Raw genomic sequence first — 24,152 nt, 5'->3', positions numbered from 1 at the left:
AGTGCTTAAGATATTTTGTAAGCCCTACCCTTGAGCTGGCACCACCCAAATCAATAAAGTGGCTTATCGGATTTTGTGGCCTTCACCCAGGAACTGACTTAGCACAAGAAGACAGCCACCATTTAAAATGGCAGAGGCTAAAACAAAGAATTCCTACGTGGTTACAGGTCATGTTCCGAAGGACTTGAAACAAGATGGAGGCTTGTAGCCAAGTTTGTTACTATTTTGTTGAGCTGGCAATGAACAGCAGCCTTATGGGGTCCTGGGCCTGCATCCTAACCTAAGATGGTCTTTCTTTTGACAGAACCATACAGAAAGACACACAAAGCACACCAGATTGGCTACAGCTTAAGATCAACCTCACAAATCCTTTGTCATTATTTTTATGATCTTTTTTACCAGTTTGCACAGGGAGAGGGAAGCCAAAAGCTCGACTGGTAAATTTTTTTTTTTTTTTTTTGGAGACAGAGTCTCGCTCCATTGCCGAGGCTGGAGTGCAATGGTGCAATCTCGGCTCACTGCAACGTCTGCCTCCCAGGTTAAAGCGATACTCCTGCCTCAGCCTCCTGAGTAGCTGGGATTACAGGTGCCTGCCACCACACCCAGCTAATTTTTGTATTTTTAGTACAGACGGGGTTTCACCATGTTAGTCAGGCTGGTCTCAAACTCCTGACCTCGTGATCCACCTGACTCGGCCTCCCAAAGTGCTGGGATTACAGGCGTGAGCCACTGCGCTCAGCCTCGACTGGTAAATTTTTACTCTTTTTCCAGAATGTCAGGCTTCTGGATTCCCTTCCCCCCAGCTCAACTCTAAGCCAAGCATTTTAAGGTTTGGAAAATTAACATTTCCCAGGTTGGAAGAACATTATAAAAGATCCATTTTAAACTGTGAAAGAAGGAAAAACACCATAGACCTGAGTTAAATTGTGGAAGGTTTCTATATATTTAACAGGGTCGTCAGAAAACTGGCCTAAGTTTCCTTTTATTTGTCTAAGATCCTATAATGAGAAGGGAACTTGAAGGGGTCCCAAATAAGAGGGATCCTCAGATGGTTCCCCTGGAACTTGCTTCTCTAATTTCGGGGAATTATTCTCGTTGGGCCTGCCTGATATGATTGCTAAAAGAGCTGGGTTGATTTTGCAATGCTTGCAAAGGTCTAGTAAAAAGGCCATGCCCTTATGCAAAAGAAAATGAGCTGCTTTTTCTTTAAAGTCTCAGGGTGAAAGATGCCCCCAGCACCTCAGAATGCACTTCAGGGGAGTGCAGGCTGAAGACAGTACCCATCTAGAAAGGGAAGCAAGAATAAAAGCGTTCTTTTAGTCTCCTTCCTTTCTTTGTGACCCAGGATGGAGGGGAAGACAGTGGGAGCATCCCCATGACTGTTTTCTCTTTTTGGTTCCCAAGTTATGGCACCATGTTAAATGTGCCACCCATGATTGCAGGCATGACCCTCCAAGCCACAGCACCAGAGGAACTAAGATTTGGGCCTAGCTGTGCTCCTCCAAGCAGCTGTAGTCCTCTGCCTATGATTTCCCTTTGACTTCCTAGACCTGTGTGACCTGTGTGCCTCCCTAAAAAAAATGAATCTCAAGAAAAACTAAGTAATTGGGCAAGGCCCCTTTAATGGGGGGTATGCTAGATTGAACCCTATATTCTGCTATTATGGCCCATGCTAAAGCATTTACTCTTAGAAAAACGGTTCCCGTTAACCTCTGAAACTAAAATCCTCTTATTAATTAAGTACTGTTCTAATTGGAAACAGACTAAGTTTCTTAAAAGAATGTAGGGACTGAATGGCCGTTTTCCTGCTGTTGGGACAGCATCAGAACTAAAATTTGGCTATGGAGGACATTTTACTCCTAACTGCTGAAGGCAGAACTTTCCTGTTCACAGAGGGGGCTTAGAGCCTGATTTCTGGTGGCGCAAAAGGAAGGTGCACTGTAAGGCAAAGGAAGGACCCGCAACATGCCTCATGAAGAGGATTTCTATTTCTACTAGGAGGCGCTTTTTGGCTTAGAAATACCATGTGCTCACCAGATAAATGGTAGAGAGAGATGCTTACTAAGTTACTGCCTGCCACGTTTGCCGATCTTTTCTAACAGACCTGTTTCTCTGAACTGTAAAAATTTCCACACATCACATACACAGAGAATAGACGTAGCAACCGCGGATAGAAAAGAAAGGAAAATTTAGCAACAGGATAGCTGGAAGAGAGCCTTGAGATTAAAGGATGGATTTGAGGTTCATTCCATACTCACCACTCCAATGTGTCTATCTTCTGTTCTGATCCAGATTCTGGGCAAGAACCCAAAATGAAATGGCTTCACTGTCTGGGGTATATACCCTGGCTCTTGGTCTCAGTCAAGAAAGAATTCAGGACACAGACACACATGAGGATTGGGTTCAGGAGCGGCAAGTTTAATAGAAAAAGAAAAGAGAGAGAAAATGCTTCCTCGTGTTGAGAAAGCAGGTGGAAGAGGGCCTCGTTTGTGGCGGACTGCAATTGGTTTGTACAGAAAGTTGAGGGGGCGGTGACTGATTTACATAGGCCTCAGGGGATTGGGTTGACCAGGTGTGCCATTTACTTAGCCCGTGAAAAGACTGGCCCTCCCACCCTATCTTTTATTATACAAATGCGGCCTCCATCTGGTGGCGGCCATGATGCCAGTACACGTGGTTTTATCTGGAGGCTGCCATGACATCTGGCACACATGGTAACAAGGAAAAGAGGGTGGGAGATGCCATATTGGGTGGACCTGGCTTTTAGCTGCTGGCATTGGCATATCAATGCTTGTAGGTCTGGTTTTTCAAGACACTTTTTGTTAGAAAAGAAATGTTTCGGGGATCGCTTTTTATTAAAAAAAAAAAAATTCCACTGAGAACTTTCACCCTTTCTAGCTGCCTAAAAATAATTTCTTAATAATGCCTGCATTAATATCAGTATTACACCACATGAATTGCTCCTGAATAGGATTTTCAATTTAAGACGTCATAACAAAGTTTCAAAAGAGCAATTGAGGAGTGGATAAAGTTCCCATGAGAACGAACTTTCTCTCAATTCTCTACGGGATTCTGATGAATAAAAGAAAGAAACTTGTTGAACATGGAACAGTTCTGTAGAACAGGCCAGGCTTCCCAAATTTGCACTGGCCATCAGATTTTTATCAGTCTAGGAAGTAAAACACTTAGGTATGCCTTGAATACAAAAAGTGCTCAATATACATCTAACCAAATTGAACTGATGAAATGGACCTCCAAGTTCTTCAAGCTGCTAAGCTTATATTTTTAGGTTTGATTCATTTAGTAAATATTTATTGAACCCCTACTTTACTGCAGGGCCTTTTCAGGGGTTGGGGCAGCTGCAATGTAAAGGCAGACTGGGTTCATGCCTTCTTGTAGCTCATGTTCTAAAGGGAGAGTCAGATAATAAACAAAACAAGGGTGCACAGTGATAGGGATGGAGGCTTGTGGGAAAAAGATTAAATAGGGCTGTTAGAGAGAGATTCTGGGAAGATATATTTCACCTAAGGCCTGAATAATAACAAGGATCCAGCCAAATGAATACCAGGGAAGACCAATGAGAAGGAAAAACAAGAATGAAAGCCCTAAGGTGGAAAAAAGGCAGAGTGTTTGAAAAACAAACAAAAAATAATACGAACTGGCCAGAACACAGTAAAAAATGAGGAAGATGGTGCTAGATGAGATTGGAGAGTCACGTAAGGGCCATATTACATAAAGCTGGGTAAGCCATGGTGAGGAGGACGGATTGTTTTTTTACATATGGAGAAATATCTTTCTAGAAAATTCTCAGTAAGATGGTCTCTTTCACGTCATTTCACATGCTACTGTGTTCACTTACCATCAACTTCCAAGAAGCAAGCAAATGAAATGAAAATGTTTTCCCTTAACTTTTTCGTATGTTAATTCAACCACAGTCACTTAACACACAGGGAAAAGTTCTTTTTTAAAAGAACTTTTAAAAAAAGAGGATACTGTCCAGGAGCAGTAGCTCACACCTATAATCCCAGTGCTCTGGGGGGGCCAAGGTGGGAGGATCACTTGAGCCCAGGAGTTCGAGACCAGTCTGGGCAACATAGTGAGACCCCGTCTCTATAAAAAAATTAAAAATTAGCTCGATATGGTGGCATGAACCTGTGGTACCACCTACTCAGGAGCCTGAAGTGGGAGGATCGCTTGAGGCCAGAAGTTCGAGGCTACAGTGAGTTATAATCACGCCACTGCAGAGGGAGATTTGTGTCTAAATAAATAAATAAACAAAATGAGAATATAGTTGTATGTGTTTGGAGGAATATAAAAGAGAATTCTTGACAAAGGGAGTCAAGGAAATTCAAAATTGGAGCAGAATTTTTCTTCTTCTTCTTGTGCTATGCCACACAAGATGGATCCTGAAAGTAGTAAGATCTCTCAGTGTGTCACCATGCTGAACAAGCCAGGACTGGTGCCACAGGCTTGAAGTGATATTTACTCTACTTCGATTTAGTTCGTGTTGCAATGGTCACATTATTTAAAGGTACTTTTAAAATTTTCGTGTTCTTCCCTCCCATTTTGGTGTATACACCCAGATGCTTCTCCTTATATTCTACTCTTTATTAATCTTATTTTTGTTGCCACAGCCTAATCCAGGTAAACATTTTCCATCCTTACAAGTGCAGGATTACTTGGTTAGGGTTTGCCAACCAGTGTAAAACATACCATTTCCATCAATTTAAGGGATTGCTAAGACTGAAAGGCAGTCATGAAGAAGTTATTTGCTAGTTAGGGCAAGGGTAATGGTACGATGGAGACAAAACAATTTCATTCGAAGACTTTAAGGGACTCATTTTCCACTGTCACTTTCACCATAATACACAATTTCCCCTCAAATAATTCAGGGATCAAAAATTGTCAAGAGGAATGAAGCCAAGACATAGTATACCAACCCTACAGATAGAAATGTTCCACCTGCCGTCTTCTCTGCCTAGTTGAGTAATGAAACACTTCACTGAAATGTAGTTCTTTGTAAACACTTAAAAAGGTGGTTTTGTTTCTTCTATTATAAAACTATTTAAGTCCATAAAATGGAGATGTTGTAAAAATGATGAAGTCTTGGCCGGGTGCAGTGGTTCACGCTTGTAATCCCAGCACTTTGGGAGGCCAAAACAGGAGGATCACTTGAGGCCAGGAGTTAGAGACCAGCCTGGGAAACATAGTGAGACCCTGTCTCTGTGGGAAAAAAAATGTTTTAAAAAATAGCCAGACATGGTGGCTCACACCTGTAGTCCTAGCTATTCAGCAGGCTGAGGTGGGAAGATTGCTTGGAGTCAGGAGTTCGAGGCTGCTATGATTGTGCCACGGCACGCCAGCCTGAGTGACAGAACTTCTGTCTCTTAAAAAAAAGTAAAGTCTGTTTTATTGAAACTACCAAAAGGCTATATAAAGAGAGCCAAAAGAGTATCCACTCCTGTGAACAATTATATAACAAGGTTATCTCAAGTCAAAGAGTACATAGATTGCACACTAAAATCTTGTCTTAACCCCACAATTGCTCTCTCATTTCCACAATGCACTAGTCAAAAATCCTCGCTGCTTCTGCTCCCAAACCTCATCCAATCTATGCCCTCCACTTTTACCCACACAGACTATCCTTCGAACTTGTCTCCTGATTGACCTATATTCATTTTACCTCTCACATTCACGCTGAAGTTACCGTTCTGAAATACATTTTTGATCGTGTTATTCCTCTGCATGAACACATTAAATAGCTCCCTATCAACTAGAGAATAAAGTCTACAGCACACGAGGCCTGCAGAATCTGGCCCCAACCTACATTTCCAACTTCCTCTCCTGCAGTTATCCCGTTTATCCCATACACTAGAAAACTATGGTTTTACTTTAACCAAGCAATAGTTTGTCACACTCCATTACACCTCTGTGCATTATTCCCTTGGACCATAATATTTTTCCCCCTTTTCTGCCTCAAAAACTCCTACTAATTCTTTACAGCCAAGCTTAAACATCAGTTTCTCTGTGAGGAGTCCCTAGTTCTCCAAAGCATAATTTAAAAACTCCAAAATGTTTTGTCCCAGTAGCTCTTGGTATACACCAGTCTCACAACTAAGATTATCGTCGACTAAAGTGCTGTCAAATATAAATATGCATGCCACATGTGTAATTTCAAATTTCCCAGTAGTCTCATGAAAAAGGTAAAGAGAAATTGGTGGATTTTAATAATATATTTTAACTATTTAATCAAAAATAGGACCATTTCAACATATACTAATACAAAAAATATAACAAGAAAGTCACATTTTTTCACTACTAATTCTTTGAAATCCAATACATATTTTATACTTGCAGCATATTTTAAATTCAGACACTAAGCTATGATGGTTAATATTGTCAACTTGATTGAAGGATGCAAAGTATCATTCCTGGGTGTGTCTGTGAGGGTGTTGCCAAAGGAGATTCACATTTGAGTCAGTGAACTGGGAGAGACAGACCCATCCTCAATCTAGATGGGCACCATCTAATCAGCTGCCAGCGTGGCTAGAATAAAGCAGGCAGGAGATGGAAGAGCAGACTTGCTGAGTCATCTGGCCTTCATCTTTCTCCTGTGCTGGGTGCTTCCTGCCCTCAAACACTGGACTCCAAGTTCTTCAGCTTTTGGACTCTTGGACTTACACTAGTGATTTGCCAAGGGCTCTCAGGCCTTCAGCCACAGACTGAAGGCTGTACTGCCGGCTTCCCTACTTTTGAGGTACTGGGACTCTGACTGGCTTCCTTGCTCCTCAGCTTGCAGACGGTCTATTGTGAGACTTCACCTTGTGATTGTAAGAGTCAATTCTCCTAATAAGCTTCCCTTCATATATATATATATATGTATGTATCTTATTAGTTCTGTCCCTCTAGAGAACTCTAATACACTAAGCTGTTTTCCAAAATAACTGATCTGCATTTACATTTCATAAAATGTATAATTGAAAAAGTAGATTCACATACCCAAATTGTTCTAAATGTACTTGAAAGTTTTCTAATAACTGAATCAAATATCAGTTTTCTATTTTAAATTGAAATAAAAATTAAATAACAGCTGAAACTTTCTCAGTCACTATATTTCAAGTACTCTAGTGTACTAGAATGCAGCTAGTGGCTATTATATTGGACAATATAGCTTGTAATTATTTGTGTATACATCTCTCTTCCGTACTTAATTGGACCATGTCTAACTTGCCTGTATCCTCCCCACTGCCTAGCATAAAGCTTGAACACACAAATGGAGCTTTATGAAAGTTTGTTGAATAAGTAAAAATAAATGTGGCAGACACTTGACTCTAGGGCAACATGAAATCAAGAGCATTCTTTTGTAAAAAATATAAACGGTGTTTTTATGAATACATATACACACTCAAAACACACACACACACAATTCCTCATACACACAAGCACAAGTACGTGCATACAAGCACAGGCCTGCAGCATTATTCACAATAGCCAAGATATGGAAACAACCTAAATGTTCATTGATGGATGGATAAAGAAAATGTAGTGTATACATAAAATGGAATACTACTCAGCCTTAAAAAAAGAAGGAAATCCTGCTATATGCGACAACATGGGCAAACCTGAAGGGCATTATGCTAAGTGAAATAAGTCAATCACAGAAGGACAAATACCCCATGTCCACTTATATGAGCTATCTATAAAGTCAAACTCATAGAAGCAGAAAGTAGGATGGAGGTTGCCAGGGTTTAGGGGAAGGGGGAAATGGAGAGTTGCTGTTCCGTGGGTATAGTTTCAGTTATACATGAATACATTCCAGAGATCTGCTGCACAACACTGTGCATATAGGTAACAAGACTGTATTGTACACTTAAACATTGAAGAGAGTAGAGCTCATGTGAAGTTCTTACCACACACACACACACACACACAAAAAGAAAACTAATCGCAAAAAATAAAACAACAAAAAAAACAACTCTGGTGTGGGATATTGATAGTAAGGAAGTCTAAGTTGGGGAGACGCAGGGGGTGCATGAAAACGATGCTGTCTTCCTCAATTTTTCTGTGAACATAAAACTGCTCTGAAAAACAAAGTGTGCTTAAAAGAAAGAGAAAAGAAAATCAGTTAAGTACATTCAATTTGTTAGTAATTCCTTCAATAATAAAAATTCATTGAAACATATTACTCCCCCTTCCTCTGGGCCTTCATCCCTCTTTTCTCCTTGCCTTAATGCATGTATGGGTATGCTACATAATTAGCGCTTCATCATGTGTTTTTATATTCTCTAGTTGTTTTGCCTTCTCAAGTTGTATTTTAAGCTTCTGGAGATAGAGATCTTCCTTGTATTTTGTAACCGTTATCACACATGGTTTAATGGTAATAATGAAATGCAAGAATTTAATATGTGACATATCATCAATTCTCAGATGACTTTTTTAAGTAAAGCCTTTCCCAATCAATTCCAGAAGCCTAATCTCTCAACAACACTCACATTGATAGCACTATCTCTGGACAGCTAGGACCCAGACCTACTCATATTGGCAATTTTTCTCTAATATGCTACAATGTGTTTTCATCTGCAATTGTTCTTTACTCTCAAGAAAGTGGGATCATGTTTCTGACCTTTGATACAGCACCCCACATCACTTAGTGCAATGCTTTCATCAAAATGGATCTTTCCATAGATGCTGATTCCTGTTCCCATTTCCCACTCCCATCTCCTCCAACCAGCCACAAGATGCAACAATGACATGGCGAGAGAGAATTCTGTAAGGGCGGCAATCTCCTTGGCCTTGTTGCTCTATATCCCTAATAACAGGTAACTCTGATAAATGAGTGCACACATGTAAATTTCCACAAAGGGAATTATAGTAGGTTTATCTTTTATTCTAATGTTGCTAGAATAAGAACAAAATTAAAATAAGCACACACACACAAAATGCCTCTGTGAATCAGTCACAGGATTTCTCTAAGTCTGGGCTGGTGTCCTTTCTCTTCTGCTGCTTGCATAGCTCTTTGATGTTCTCTATCTCTGCAGGACTAAACTTGGAGGTTAGCATCACATTGTCATAATCAAATTCTTCATCAAGTGAAAAAAGTTGAACTTCATCTCCAAGTATCTATAAAAGGTAACAAAGGAGGAAAAAACATACACAATCATTGTAAATGAAGATAAAGTTGAAAAATTAACTCCCTATTAATATTTAATTAAACCTTTTTTCAGACTTCAGCACTCTCAGCTGATTAAGCTGTTTTTAAGTAAAGAAATAAATTTAATTATTCAATTTGACCTAATTTAAGCCTCTTAATATGCTCCATTTGTACCATGCTCTATCTGAATGAATATCATTAACTAATGCTGCCCAAGGCAAGAATCAGAAAGTCTCCCTTGCATATACTCATTATACATTTTACCACTTGTAGTGTCAGGACTACAGAAGCATACAGAAAAACCAACAGTTATATTAAAATGTGAGAAAAATATACACTAAGATTTTTTTATCAACCTTAAATAGATTTTCACCATTTGCTAAAAAAGATCTATATTAATAAAACTTACTTTTTAAAGATAAAAATACCCTACATTGAATATACTTCTTCAGATAATACCTATAACTCTTGGCTAATAACAGTAAAACTTGAAACATATTTTAAATTTAAAAGTCCAGGATCTCTTTGTTTCTACCAAGAATTTAAAAATATTACAGTTTATCTATAAGTAAAGTAGTTACAAAGAGATGTAATAATTTTGAATCTATTCATAATTTGTGAGTTTTAAAGACTTCCTAAAGGAAGGCAGATAAAAAAGCATATTTTCCAATAAACCAAGAGTATGCCTTAAATCTCTTGTATCGCCCCCTAAAAAGCCTCTCCAAAAACAAATGGTGTGTGATACAATGAAATCATCCAGTACTTCTATGTAGCTCCACAATATGCATAGTGATGCTGAAATAATTGAAAACTATGGTTTATGCAAGAATGAAAAAATGTCCCGAAGCTATAATCAGCTTTAAATATTCTTGCATGGAAGATGATCTCATTGAGTGGCTTATGCAATGTTCGTAAAAATGTAGCATGTAGCTCAGAAACTATCTGCTGTTACTAAAGGTGAAAGAAAAAATAATGAGTAGTTATCTCCTATCTGTTCCACAAGTTATGTTTTGAAGTTAGGTGTGCAGTGCTAATAGCAAACGCTCAGCCATTTATCATCTTTTGTTAGTAAAATCAGCAGGAGAACAACTTCTGGAGATGCGTTCATTTCCTGTTTATCAGAAAGGACCTTAGTGCTTTCCTGACAAAACTGCCACTGGGTTTCCATGGTGAGTTTGCCACGGTGAGTTTCCACCATGTGTCAGCCCTGATACTAGGAACCACGTGGCATCAGCAGTGATATTCAAGCAACCCTGCTGGTAGTCACTGTTACCCCTACCTTATAAAGCTCTGAAAGGTTAAGTAACTTGCCCAAAATACACAGTTAGTAAGGGAGAGAAGCAATATTTGGATCCAGGGTAATCTGCTTCAAATAAAGCCTCACCTGCTCAACAGAAACACCAGCAAGAATCAACCTTGAAGTTTCCACTAAGCCAAGTCACAGCCTTTGGAGAGAAGACCTTTTCTAAATAAGATGATCCATTCTCACAGCCTACCATTAGAAAACTGTACTCAAGGCTACATGTAATACCATGACTATCTTAAAACCCAGCTGTACACAAAAAGCAAATCAGCCTGCAAGGCTGATCAGTCCATTTTGATCACTGTCTGAGATCAAATTTATCATCAACACAGCCAAAGTGACAGTGGGACAATCTTGCTTAGATGGCTCAAATGCAGAAACACACACACACAATGACACAAGATGTTCATTTCCTGAATGTTAACTGTTCTTGCTGTCTCCAGCTCTACTCAGCAGTAAGTACTGAGGCCTGCAGGCTTGGCTACAACACCATCTGGAGCCGATTCTAGCTGATCCTGGCAAAACATAAGGAGGAGAACCTGTTTCCACCAATATATTCAGTCTGATGGGAATTTTGCTGCCCTTTCATGCCTGGGTAAAGGCCTTTCATCACATGTCTATTAAGCTTCAAGCTGCCTATACCTGCATGTGTCCCCTATACTAGGTCTTTAAATTCTACCTTCAAGCCTCTAAAACCTGCCTACACCTTACTAGCCATCCTCACTAGATGCAGTCACTTTGTCTTCACCCACCTCTCACTTAGGGGTTAGAATACAATTTCAAATTAGACAAATCCGTTTGCTGTGTTAAAATCTCAGTGACACCATACCATGCCCCCGACTCCCTCTACAGAACACAAATAACCTCAATCCCCACCTCCCTTACCTTTACTTGTTCACTCAATAAACATTTATTATATAGCAGATTCTGGGAACATAAAGTGATTATAGCAAAATCTGTGTCTACAAGGTTTCATAACTTCAAGGAGAAGACAAAAGTATAGGAATGATTTCAGTATCACGTGCTTTGCTCTCCAATAGAGGAATGCAAAAAAGGGAAACAGAAGCATAGAGAGGAAAGTGCAGAAGCTTCACTTACTCTTCTATTTTTTTTTTTAAACAGAGACTCCCTCTGTCACCCAGGCAGGAGTGCAGTGGCATGATCTCAGCTCACTGCAACCTCCGCCTCCCAGGTTCAAGCAATTCTCCTGCCTCAGCCTCCTGAGTAGCTGGGACAACTGGTGCATACCACCAGGCCTGGCTAATTTTTGTATTTTTAGTAGAGATAGGGTTTCGCCATGTCGGCCAGGCTGGTTTCAAACTCCTGGCCTCAAGTGATCCACCCACTGCAGCCTCCCAGAGTGCTGGGATTACAGGCATGAGCCACTGTACCTGGCCTCTTACTCTTGATTGAGTTTTGCCAGTCTCCAGAAAATCCTACTAGCCTCCCCACACATCACTTCACTTATTACCTACCTCATCCTAGCAACCCAGATAAAGTAAGGCCTGTATTTCGGACTTACTTCTAAACTCTGATCAGGGCTCCCACGGCCAAGTTGGTTATAGATACGGCCCAACCCATTGCCTTCTTAAGATTCTCCCTTCCCTGAGGTCTCAAACTACCTTGTGGCTATAATATCCAAACTTATGGTACTAGAGATGTAGAAATTTATTCTTAAAAATAGAAACATCTTATTTTCCTTTAAGTTTTTTTTAAATACATTTACATTCTTCTCTGTCATGGAGGATGATTTTCTTCATCAGTCACTTGGTACTAACCATAACAATAACATGGAATAAAGTTTTCAGCAAGTCAGTAAAGATAATGTTAACACAAAGATTATTCATTTATAATATCCTTCAATGTATAAAAATATAATTAAAAATATAAATTTCTTCACTAAGAAATTAAGGGTTATCAACAGCAGCTATTAGATTTTCTAGGCAATCAGTTAGATACTGAGATACTAAAGCAAGAAATAAAAAATAGTAATAACGTCACATTTGCAATGCCAAAACATGACATTCAGGACACTCTAAACCATTTTGGAGATATACTGTAATGTGGCCAGTACATCCCTGAGTCGAAATGTCAGAGGAATAGCCTCCTGCAATCATTGAGATATTTTACATTCTTTCCACAAACTCTATATTCCTATTAAATTCTAGTCACTGTGTTAGGTGCTGGGGATACAAAGATGAAGACCTATATGAAATCACAAACAATGAGATAAACACATAAACAAATCATTAGAGTAAAATGTGGTAAGAACAGGGTGATGGGAACACAGAAGGAATACCTGACCCAGACTAAGTTGGAGGGGATTGGGAAGGAATCAGAGAAGGCGTCTTGGAACAGGTGATATCTGAGCTGACTCTTAAAGGGTAAACATTAGTTTACAAGTTGACAAAGGAGAGCTTTGCTGACGGGGAGTTTCCATGAGCAGACCATGGAAATAAGATGCAGAATTTCATATTTGTGAGTCTGAAAGTAGGTGAGCATTGTCAGAGCACAAAGTGTAAGTCGGAGAGTAGCAAGAGACAAATATGGTGCCAAATCATCCTAGAGATGATGAAAAGTCACTGAAGAATTTTTTGAAAGCAGGGAAAACATTTGGTCATCTATGCATTTCAGATAAATTCCTTCATCCATTAAATTTTTATTAAGTACCTACAATGAGACAGGTGCTGGAGTAAAAAAGAAGAAAAAAAATGCCCTGCCCTGTTGGAAATTATATGAGACAGGTCACTATGAAGGTTAAACAGAAGGTAGATTTGAGTGGGATAAGCCTGGAGCCAGAAGAGTACTCAGGAACCTGCTAAAGCGGTTCAGTAAGAGATCATGAGAACAGGGGACTGGTAGCAGAGATTTGAAAAATCCGTAGAAAGTGAAATTGGCAGCACTCGATAAGTGACTGGATATGGAAATGTAAAAAAAAGGAAGAATGCAGAAAGGGAAGCAGGTAAAGATAAGCAGAGTTCAATCTGAATGTACCTGAAGGAATCTAGATGAATTGAATATACAAACTTGAAACTGAAAAAAAAGGTGTGAAGCTAGAGATACCAATTTGGAGATGAAGACGGATTCAAGTATGTAGGCTGGGAAGAACTATAGGTTAAGCACAGAATGCAAAGGAACACCAACTCATAAGGGATGGATGGAGAGAAAACCCAAAGGAGTCGGGGAAAACACAATTTGAGAAATACATAAAGAATCACAGGAGATCATTGATGGACATTTGGGCTCCTGTGCAGCACACCAACATGGCACATGTATACATGTGTAACAAACCTGCACATTGTGCACATGTACCCTAGAACTTAAAGTATAATAAAAAATAAAAAAATAAAATAAAATAAAATAAAGAATCACAGGAGAAAAGTGAAGTGAGAACCAATGAAGCAAGAGTGCCAGAGGAAGGTCAATGGTGTCAAACACGGTAGAGAGATCCATTAAAAGGAAGACTGGAAAGTGTCCGCTGGATTTGGCAATCATAAAGCAATTGACGCCTTCATTCTGAAAACATCCAAGCAGGCAATTGAAGCCAAGGATATTTTACAATATATTGAAGAGTCTAATAGCTTTTCAATTCTGGATGAAAAGAGAGACATAAGAACAGACAGTAACCAAAGAGGGGTCCAAGATGAAGGGAAGCTTGTTTTCCTTGTTTTGTTTCATTTTGTTAAGGATAGGAAAGACTTAAACACGTTTACATGTTGACGGGAATGAACAAATAGAAAAGACAGAATGACCCCAACCACGTTGTTACTGTATACCAGAAAATCACTCCCATTTAGTGGTGAGGTTTATTGTTTATTTATGTGTTCATTTAATAAATGTTTACTGTATGCCTACTATATGCATGGCACTGAGCTCGGCACTAGTTCTGACTTTGCATGTTAATTACATAAGCTTATGATGACATGCATGAGTGAATTTAGTCTTCCAAGACAGGAGACACATAAGTAATTCAAAGTGAGCCCAGGTAGGGGCATACCGCAATTCAGAAGATATCACTGCGGTCTTCTAAATGACAGCTTTTCAAATACAGAAAGGTTGCATTTCTATGTATATATTTCAGTTATTGGCTGTTGTGGCATACTTTGGAAATTCTCTTCTTTCAAGTTCAGTTCGTGTTAGAGTTCAAAGCTATAAGATGCCAAGGTTTTTAGATTACAAACTGAAATTATGATTTATTTCAGTAAAGACTTTGTGCAATGGAACACCAAGTCCCCTGCTGCTAAACAAAAACAACCATGAATTAAGTTATTAACTTGTTATTTTTGCCTAAGGAGCTGAAAGAAATATGTGGATTTCAGGTGTCTAATTTCAAATCTAATTGAAACTTTTTTGTAGCCTCTCAGGGAATAAAATTTGTACACTATTGGAAAACTTTGAGTCCCCTTAAAATTTCTCATGTGACTTATTCTAACAGAGACACTGTTGATGGAGAGATTGTTTTCATTCATAGTACCACATAGGCAAACTAAAGAAAATAGAACTAATGCTTACATCAATAATGGCAGCATTTAGCTGTAGGCTACTATACAAAGTAATATGGTAAATAAACTGTCTTTATAGGTGAAAATTTTTAGAGTCCTATTATGAATTGGAAAAACAGGAGAGCTCCTATTAAAATACCACACAAGTTTCTTCTATGACCTCTCCTACAGTTTTCACGGGGAGAGGGTGGGTATCACAAATTTTCATCCTCCTAATAACAACTCTCTTTGTTCTGTCTACAGAACAAAGCAGCTTGAAGCAGCTTCAAACTTCCAAAGTTCATCAAAATAAAGTAACTAAGGCAAGGTAATTCTATACACATAATTCTATATACAATTATGTATGTGTGTAGAACCAGTGGTAAAATCATGATTATCTCAATAGATGCAGAAAAGGCCTTTGACAAAATTCAACAGCCCTTCATGCTAAAAACTCTCAATACATTAAGTATTGATGGGATGTATCTCAAAATAATAAGAGTTACTTATGACAAACCCACAGCCAATATCATACTGAGTGGGCAAAAACTGGAAGCGTTCCCTTTGAAAACTGGCACAAGATAGGGATGCCCTCTTTCACCACTCCTATTCAACATAGTGTTGGAAGTTCTGGCCAGGGCAATCAGGCAGGAGAAAGAAATAAAGGGTATTCAATTAGGAAAAGAGGAAGTCAAATTGTCCCTGTTTGCAGATGATATGATTGTCTATCTAGAAAACCCCATCGTCTCAGCCCAAAATCTCCTTAAGCTGATAAGCAACTGCAGCAAAGTCTCAGGATACAAAATCAATGTGCAAAAATCAGAAGCATTCTTATACACCAATAACAGACAAACAGAGAGCCAAATCATGTGTGAACTCCCATTCACAATTGCTTCAAAGAGAATAAAATACTTAGGAATCCAACTTACAAGGGACGTGAAGGACCTCTTCAAGGAGAACTACAAACCACTGCTCAACGAAATAAAAGAGAACACAAACAAATGGAAGACCATTCCATGTTCATGGATAGGAAGAATCAATATCATGAAAATGGTCATACTGCTCAAGGTAACTTATAGATTCAATGCCATCCCCATCAAGCTACCAATGACTTTCTTCACAGAATTGGAAAAAACTACTTTAAAGTTCATATGGAACCAAAAAAGAGCCTGCATTGCCAAGACAATCCTAAGCCAAAGAACAAAGCTGGAGGCATCACGCTACCTGACTTCAAACTATACTACAAGGCTACAGTAACCAAAACAGCATAGTACTGGTACCAAACCAGAGATATAGACCAAAGGAACAGAACAGAGCCCTCAGAAATAATACCACACATCTACAACCATCTCATCTTTGACAAACCTGACAAAAACAAGAGATGGGGAAAGGATTCCCTATTAAATAAATGGTGCTGGGAAAACTGGCTAGCCATATGTAGAAAGCTGAAACAGGATCCCTTCCTTACACCTTACTCAAAAATTAATTCAAGATGGATTAAAGATTTAAATGTTAGACCTAAAACCATAAAAACCCTAGAAGAAAACCTAGGCATTACCATTCAGGACATAGGCATGGGCAAGGACTTCATGTCTAAAACACCAAAAGCAATGGCAACCAAAGCCAAAATTGACAAATGGGATCTAATTAAACTAAAGAGCTTCTGCACAGCAAAAGAAACTACCCTCAGAGTGAACAGGCAACCTACAGAATGGGAGAAAATTTTTGCAATCTACTCATCTGACAAAGGGCTAATATCTAGAATCTGCAAAGAACTTAAACAAATTTACAAGAAAAAAACAACCCCATCAAAAAGTGGGTGAAGGACATGAACAGACACTTCTCAAAAGAAGACATTTATGCAGCCAACAGACACATGAAAAACTGCTCATTATCACTGGCCATCAGAGAAATGCAAATCAAAACCACAATGAGATACCATCTCACACCAGTTAGAATGGTGATCATTAAAAAGTCAGGAAACAACAGATGCTGGAGAGGATGTGGAGAAACAGGAACACTTTTACACTGTTGGTGGGACTGTAAACTAGTTCAACCATTGTGGAAGACAGTGTGGCGACTCCTCAGCAATCTAGAACTAGAAATACCATTTGACCCAGCCATCCCATTACTGGGTATATACCCAAAGGATTATAAATCATGCTGCTATAAAGACACATGCACACGTATGTTTATTGCGGCATTATTCACAATAGCAAATTGTTGGAACCAGCCCAAATGTCCATCAATGATAGACTGGATTAAGAAAATGCGGCACATATACACCATGGAATACTATGGAGCCATAAAAAATGATGAGTTCATGTCCTTTGCAGGGACATGGATGAAGCTGGAAACCATCATTCTCAGCAAACTATCGCAAGGACAAAAAACCAAACACCGCATGTTCTCACTCATACGTGGGAATTGAACAATGAGAACACTTGGACACAGGAAGGGGAACATCACACACCAGGGCCTGTTGTGGGGTGGGGGAAGGGGGGAGGGATAGTATTAGGAGATATGCCTAATGTAAATGTTGGTGCAACACACCAACATGGCACATGTATACATATGTAACAAACCTGCACGTTGTGCACATGTACCCTAGAACTTAAAGTATAATAAAAATATATTTTTTTTTTGGAAAAAAAAAAAAGAACCAGTGGTAAAATTAGGGAAAAAATCTGAACCAAATAAATGTTAAATGTTTGAAGTGATGGATATGCTAATTACCCTGATTTGATCATACACATATATAGTACCAAAATATCACACTATACCCCATAAATACATACAATTATTATATGTTAATTTAAAAATTAAAAAAAACAAAATTAGGTAAAACATTGAGTTGGTCCAATTCATATCAGAAAGTTGATGGAATCTTAATAGGCAATTAAGAGAAAGTTAGGAAGGACATCCAGAATACATTTTCAGCTTTTCAGATTGAAATCACAGAAAGAAACCATCATCTCTAATCCCAAAATGGCCTTTCAGTAAGCCCTTCAGGACCCATTTGCTATAAACTAATGATTATGTTCTTTTACTAGCACTGGGTGCTTTAAGATGAATGTTATCAAACCAAGGCAGTGTTGGTACAGTACAGGTTGAATATCTCTTCTCCAAAATGCTTGGGATGAAGTGTTTTGGATTTCAGATTTTGGAAGGGTTGCAGAATATATACGAGTTGAGCATCCCTAATCCCCAAATCTGAAATCCATAATGCTCCAATGAGCATTGCCTTTGAGCATCATGTCAGCCCTCAAAAAGTTTCAAATTTTGGAGCATTTTGGATTTTCCCATTAGGAATGTTCAACCTGTATTGTGATTCTAGACGGTTGTGAAAAGTTACTCTAAAAAATAGTAATTAGAAATAAAAATTCCCAACCAAGATGTTACTTCAGATATTCAAAAAACAGCAGAAGTTGTTCATCTGTGGCTTGTATCATTTTGATTCCAACATTTTAAAATGTCCACATGTCTGGTAGGAAATTTATATTCCTCTTAAATATACCACCATATATGGGGTCTCAACTTGATTTATACTGCTATTTGATAGATTCCAGAAATCATTCAGTTTTTTTAACCCATTAATTAAAACCACTTTGTAACAATTTCTATAATTGTACTAGATTATATATATTCTCAAATTGTACTGAAATAAAATTGTATTTCTATAAAAGTACTAGGTGCCATGTCTACTGGCTGGTCCAATAACTTTTATGGCCACAAGTGAAGTCAACAGCATGAACAAATCTTAAAAAAGAAATTGAGTCCTTCTAGAAATAGTCTTATAATTTTAGCTTTTTACAACTCAGAGAAAGCAATCTATAATTCAAAAAGCATATTGAAAAGTGGCTGTCCCTACCAGTTTAGCCAGTAATCAATTTGGGAGTTTAATATAAGCCTGCACGCATCCTGGATATACTTTCATGATGTCAGTGAACAAAAGTACTTATTAGAAAGTGGCAATTTAAAACTGAAATGTGTGGATTATTTATGACTGAATGGCTAATTCTATAACAGAATATCTTTTAGTAACAAGACTAGTACCTCATGATTAAATAATCCAAAAAGACCCTAAGGATTTTGTTAGAAAGCAATAATAAAGAGCCCTTAACAACTTCTTGTGCCTGATCCTGCTTTGTGTTCCAGTAAGGAGGGTGAGAAAGGTCACTACCAGCACTAGCAACAGTCTCTATTGATACATGTTTATTAAGCATATGTAGAAGAGCTGCAAAATGATAGCTAAAGATGACTTTCAAGTTGCACATTTGCAAGAGTAAATATATGGCATAGATTCCATTTTCATCTCTAGGTGACATTTCTCAGCCTCCCCTGTGGCCAGTATGAACATGTGACTAAGTGGTCACCAATGGAATGTGAGCCGACATTAAGGACCCTGAGTCCTAAGCCTTGGGGAAACATGCTGCCCCCATGTTCTTCTCTCCTCCCCTCCAGGTACGATGATGACCTGACCTGGAACACGCAGGTGAGGACAATGTCCTAAAATATAATGGACATCCAGAAAGAAGGAACCTGGGTCCCTGATGACCCCCCAAAAAGGAGCCACCTGCTCATTTTAAGGGCTCTATATAGGCTGTAAATAAGAGAAATAAACATCTATCTCTTTTCAGCCATTGAATTATTATTAGGATTCTCTGTTATAGCAGCCTGGCCTTACCTCAACTAATTCAAAAGTTTATAGAACCTTATCAGTAATAATAAAAACGGCCAGTTCAAACTAAAAAGGGCAAGAAAACTGTCCGTCCTTTCTATTGTGTAGTCCTTGGGTAGCACTGATCTGTGGCATGGCATACACTGTAAAACAAAAATGGTTTCCACATAAAAACATAATTGCTCTATGTGTTTAAAAAGAAATGTATGCATTTGAGATAGATGGCTGTGAGAGGGACCAATTAAGCAACTTGAATTTTATATTTTCCCAAATGTTAGAAAAATACAGAAGCATGCAGCATTTCTTTGAAGGGATGAATTACAAAATCAAGGCAGTGTGGAGAATGACTGAATTCCCTGTGGAGTACCTCTTCCGTCTGTTTGTCCATTCTTTTAACACTGGGCTTTGGCTTCACTTCACAGGTAGGAGGCTGGGCCACAAAAGGGATACAGGAAGGAATGCTGGTGCTTACATCCTGCTCCACTTCTCCTGGAAGCAGCAGCAAATCTGTTGGATACAAAACATTTCAACTGAGCCTTTCGCAAAGTTCACAATTTACCTAAATCATTTAAATGCCCAGAAGTCGAAGAAAATGAAGCAAATATGCTCATGTAATGTAGATCCATTTCACAATGCCTGTCCTCCTTTGGGAACTGGACTCAAGGGATTGCCCTTTCCTCATAATAGAAGCCATTAGTGCATTTATTTTTATTTTATCGTTGCAAACGTAAGAGTCCCCCCAAAATGTCTGGAGGAGTACTGTTTTTGGAGTAACCTGACTGTCCCTTTTATTCTCAACTCAATTTCTACTTTTATATGAAAATAAGGTGATAAGATGTTACTTTTGCTTCATTTTCCCATATTTTCCTGGAGGGATAAAGAGAAAGAAAATGGAGTACTGATTTCATCCTGTAACAATATGGCAATATTTCAAAAATATATGTTAAAAAACAGTAATGCCAGAAGGAAAGTACTTTAACTTTCAGCAGAAAAGTGAAATATTCTGTCATATTCAGAATGCATGGTCTAATTTTCAACACTTGCAAAGAACAGCAGCAACATGTTTCCTGCTTGTTAAGCACAATCTCAAGAATTCAATAACCCATCTTGGTTTTCTGATTGATCCATTATAAGCAGATATGTCTCCTGATTTTTGCAGGTATGATAGTACATGGATGCATCACAGACAACTGATGATCTTCCACAGCTTTCTTTAAGGAGGACAAAAAAACAATTAGAAGCAGAACAGGTTCCTCCTCAGCCTGTTTTCATAGGACCAGAAGGGCTTGCTGGAGCTAGCCAATAACTTGGAGCGGACTCTGGATGATGCTGCCTACTTCTCAAAGATGATCCTAATTAAGGCACTAATTAACTTCTCAGTGGAAGTGATTAATAACAAGCATGACTTGACTGCTGCAAATGGCAGCATGTATAGGGAGATAATTGAGCAGGTATTGATATTCAAAAACTGAAACTTATTTGAAATGAATCCCTCAACACTATAGATATCCCCTTCACAAAAAAATATAATTACAAAATTCTTATGACTCCAGCAACAGAGAACACAGACAGCCTGGAAACAGAATTGTGGAGGGGAAATGGCAAAGAAGGCAATTCTGCTATGACTAATTACTGAAATCTTAGACTATGATTTCATTAATTAGCAGAAATAAAAACAATAATAATAGCCAACACTTACATACTCATCATTTTATGTGCTTTAGCTCAGCTAATACTCCCAAAGCTCTATTATTTCCCATTTTACAGACAATGAGCTAAGAGACAGTAGCCTCACTCAATATCCCACAGCTAAAAACGGCAGAGCTGGACAGTCTATCTACATACAGAGCCCATGCTCTTATCCTACAATGTCACATTACGAACTTTCTTTAAATAAGCATTTTTGTTACATATTTTATTTTACTGGATCAAATTAAACACTCAAACTTAGAACCAACAAATGTCACTACTATAACACATTAGCATGGTTAGGCAACATTAAGTACATTTCCCAAACATTTCACACCCAGAGAAACAACATTTTAAAATTCAATGAGGTTGGTGGGAAGACTGGTTTTCTAATGCACCTATTTATGAGTTCAAAGCCAAACTCCCTCACTGAGCGTCCTCGTGTAACAGCCTAGGACTGGTACAAATCTGGTGAGGGACCCACGAACAAGGAAAGCAGCAAGAGACAGGCTTGGGCCTCTCGACATGAAAACCATTATCTACCTGACCCATTGGCTGACAGCGCAAACGTCAGTTCAAATGTGAAATCAAAATCAATTCTGCTTTCAGCGCTATTTAAAATCATCATTCTGGCTGACAGTATTGTGCAGTGAGGAGGACAACTCTGCAATTTCTTTACTGAAACTTCACTTCTCTAACCTATTTGCCAAGGTAGGATTTTCAACAAAAATGGTTTCTTTCATAATAATTCTACTGCCATGGGAACAATTCTTTCAAAATAACAAGACTCAGTATTCTCCACGTCTTAAATTCTTGTCATTTGTTTCTTCAGAATAAAAGCGAAATGCACCAATGCATATCTATTAGTGCCTAACATAGCACCTTATACATAGTGAATTCCCAACAAATACTTGGAGATAGAAAAGGAATTTTGTACACCTCAACTTTTAAACTCAACAGCAAGTATCGAGTCTGCCTGCCAATAAGATGTTGTGGATGATGTAAAATGACTATAGCCCTTACCCTCAAAAACTAAACGTTACAGGAATAAGACTTTCATATATAAAATCAATCAAAGAATAATCAAGAAAAAATTGAATGGCTCTAACTCTAAAGATGACAGATTTATAAAAGGGCAAAAACAATATGAATGAAAAGAGCCTGGCAAGGCATATGTTATAAAGAAAAGTACTGCAATCATTTAGCCTTTTACAATCGTGGGTGGGTTATATATATATACTCATATTCTCTCAGGAGAAAAAAAATACTGTATTCACTCATGGTAGGAAATGAAATTTCTGAAGTTCTCTGTATAACTTTCTGAAACAGAAATGCTTTAAGAGACTTAATCTGATCATATAGGTGTTGTTTCTAAAACAATCAAAGGCTTTGTTTTCATCTTAATGAAATGCAACCATCTTGGCATCATAGAATCAGGGCCACTTTCAAAAATGAATCTTGAGGTTGGACGGCAAGACTGGTTGAAGTATTTTAATCTCTTCTTTCTCAACCACGTGTTTAGAAATTCTACTATTTAAAAAGTAGCTATTCATGCCATTTGTCTCTGTATTTTGTCAATGATCAGCAAGTCAAAGACTACAGCCATGTAATCTAACACACTGGTACAAAGTGAGCAATCTACTTGACATCTGAAAATTTATATACAATAATATTAAATCTGCCTGGCATATTTATAAAATTAACCAGTCTGTTCATTTGTTACCACATAAAATGGCCAACATTTCCTGAAAGTCTGGGCATCCTAATACAAAAAGGATATAGATAAAAAACACTTTAGCCGTCCAGATCACTTCTTTATTATTATTATTATTATTATTATACTTTAAATTCTAGGGTACATGTGCACAACGTGCAGGTTTGTTACATATGTATACATGTGCCATGTTGGTGTGCTGCACCCATTAACCTATCATTTACATTAGGTATATCTCCTAATGCTATCCCTCCCCCTCCCCCCACCCCACGACAGACCCCAGTGTGTGATGTTCCCCTTCCTGTGTCCAAGTGTTCTCATTGTTCAATTCCCACCTATGAGTGAGAACATTCAGTGTTTGGTTTTTTTATCCTTACGATAGTTTGCTGAGAATGATGGTTTCCAGCTTCATCCATGTCCCTGCAAAGGACATGAACTCATCCTTTTTTATGGCTGCATAGTATTCCATGGTGTATATGTGCCACATTTTCTTAATCCAGTCTATCATTGTTGGACATTTGGGTTGGTTCCAACTCTTTGCTATTGTGAATAGTGCCACAATGAACATACGTGTGCATGTGTCTTTATAGCAGCACGATTTATAATCCTTTGGGTATATACCCAGTAATGGGATAGCTGGGTCAAATGGTCTTTCTAGTTCTAGATCCTTGAGGAATCGCCACACTGTCTTCCGCAATAGTTGAACTAGTTTACAGTCCCACCAACAGTGTAAAAGTGTTCCTATTTCTCCACATCCTCTCCAGCACCTGTTGTTTCCTGACTTTTTAATGATCACCATTCTAACTGGTGTGAGATGGTATCTCATTGTGGTTTTGATTTGCATTTCTCTGATGGCCAGTGATGATGAGCATTTTTTCATGTGCCCGTTGGCTGCATAAATGTCTTCTTTTGAGAAGTGTCTGTTCATATCCTTTGCTCACTTTTTGATGGGGTTGTTTGTTTTTTTCTTGTAAACTTGTTTGAGTTATTTATAGATTCTGGATATTAGCCCTTTGTCAGTTGAGTAGATTGCAAACATTTTCTCTCATTCTGTAGGTTGCCTGTTCACTCTGATGGTAGTTTCTTTTGCTGTGCAGACGCTCTTTAGTTTAATTAGATTCCACTTGTCAATT

At 38.4% G+C, this 24,152-nt stretch overlaps 1 protein-coding gene across 13 annotated transcripts in view; it reads right to left on the bottom strand.

Moving 5' to 3' along the window:
- IFTAP (intraflagellar transport associated protein) overlaps positions 8,867 to 24,152 on the bottom strand; it is a 64,771-nt gene continuing 49,485 nt past the window's right edge. For all 13 annotated transcript variants that reach the window (NR_077243.2, NM_001276722.2, NM_001276725.2 and 10 more), the window contains 2 exons: positions 19,984 to 20,123; positions 8,867 to 9,120 (listed from right to left, as the gene is read on the bottom strand). Coding sequence is in view for 12 of the 13 variants with exons in the window: in NM_001276722.2 (NP_001263651.1) it covers positions 8,953 to 9,120; positions 19,984 to 20,123 (308 nt within the window). In the remaining variant the exon portion in view is untranslated. The remainder of the gene's footprint in view (positions 9,121 to 19,983; positions 20,124 to 24,152) is intronic.

This window comes from Homo sapiens, chromosome 11 (assembly GCF_000001405.40).
Source record: "Homo sapiens chromosome 11, GRCh38.p14 Primary Assembly".
NCBI lineage: Eukaryota > Metazoa > Chordata > Mammalia > Primates > Hominidae > Homo > Homo sapiens.
The sequence above is the reverse complement of the archived record's forward strand: the minus strand, read 5'-3'. Positions and strand labels throughout refer to the sequence as shown.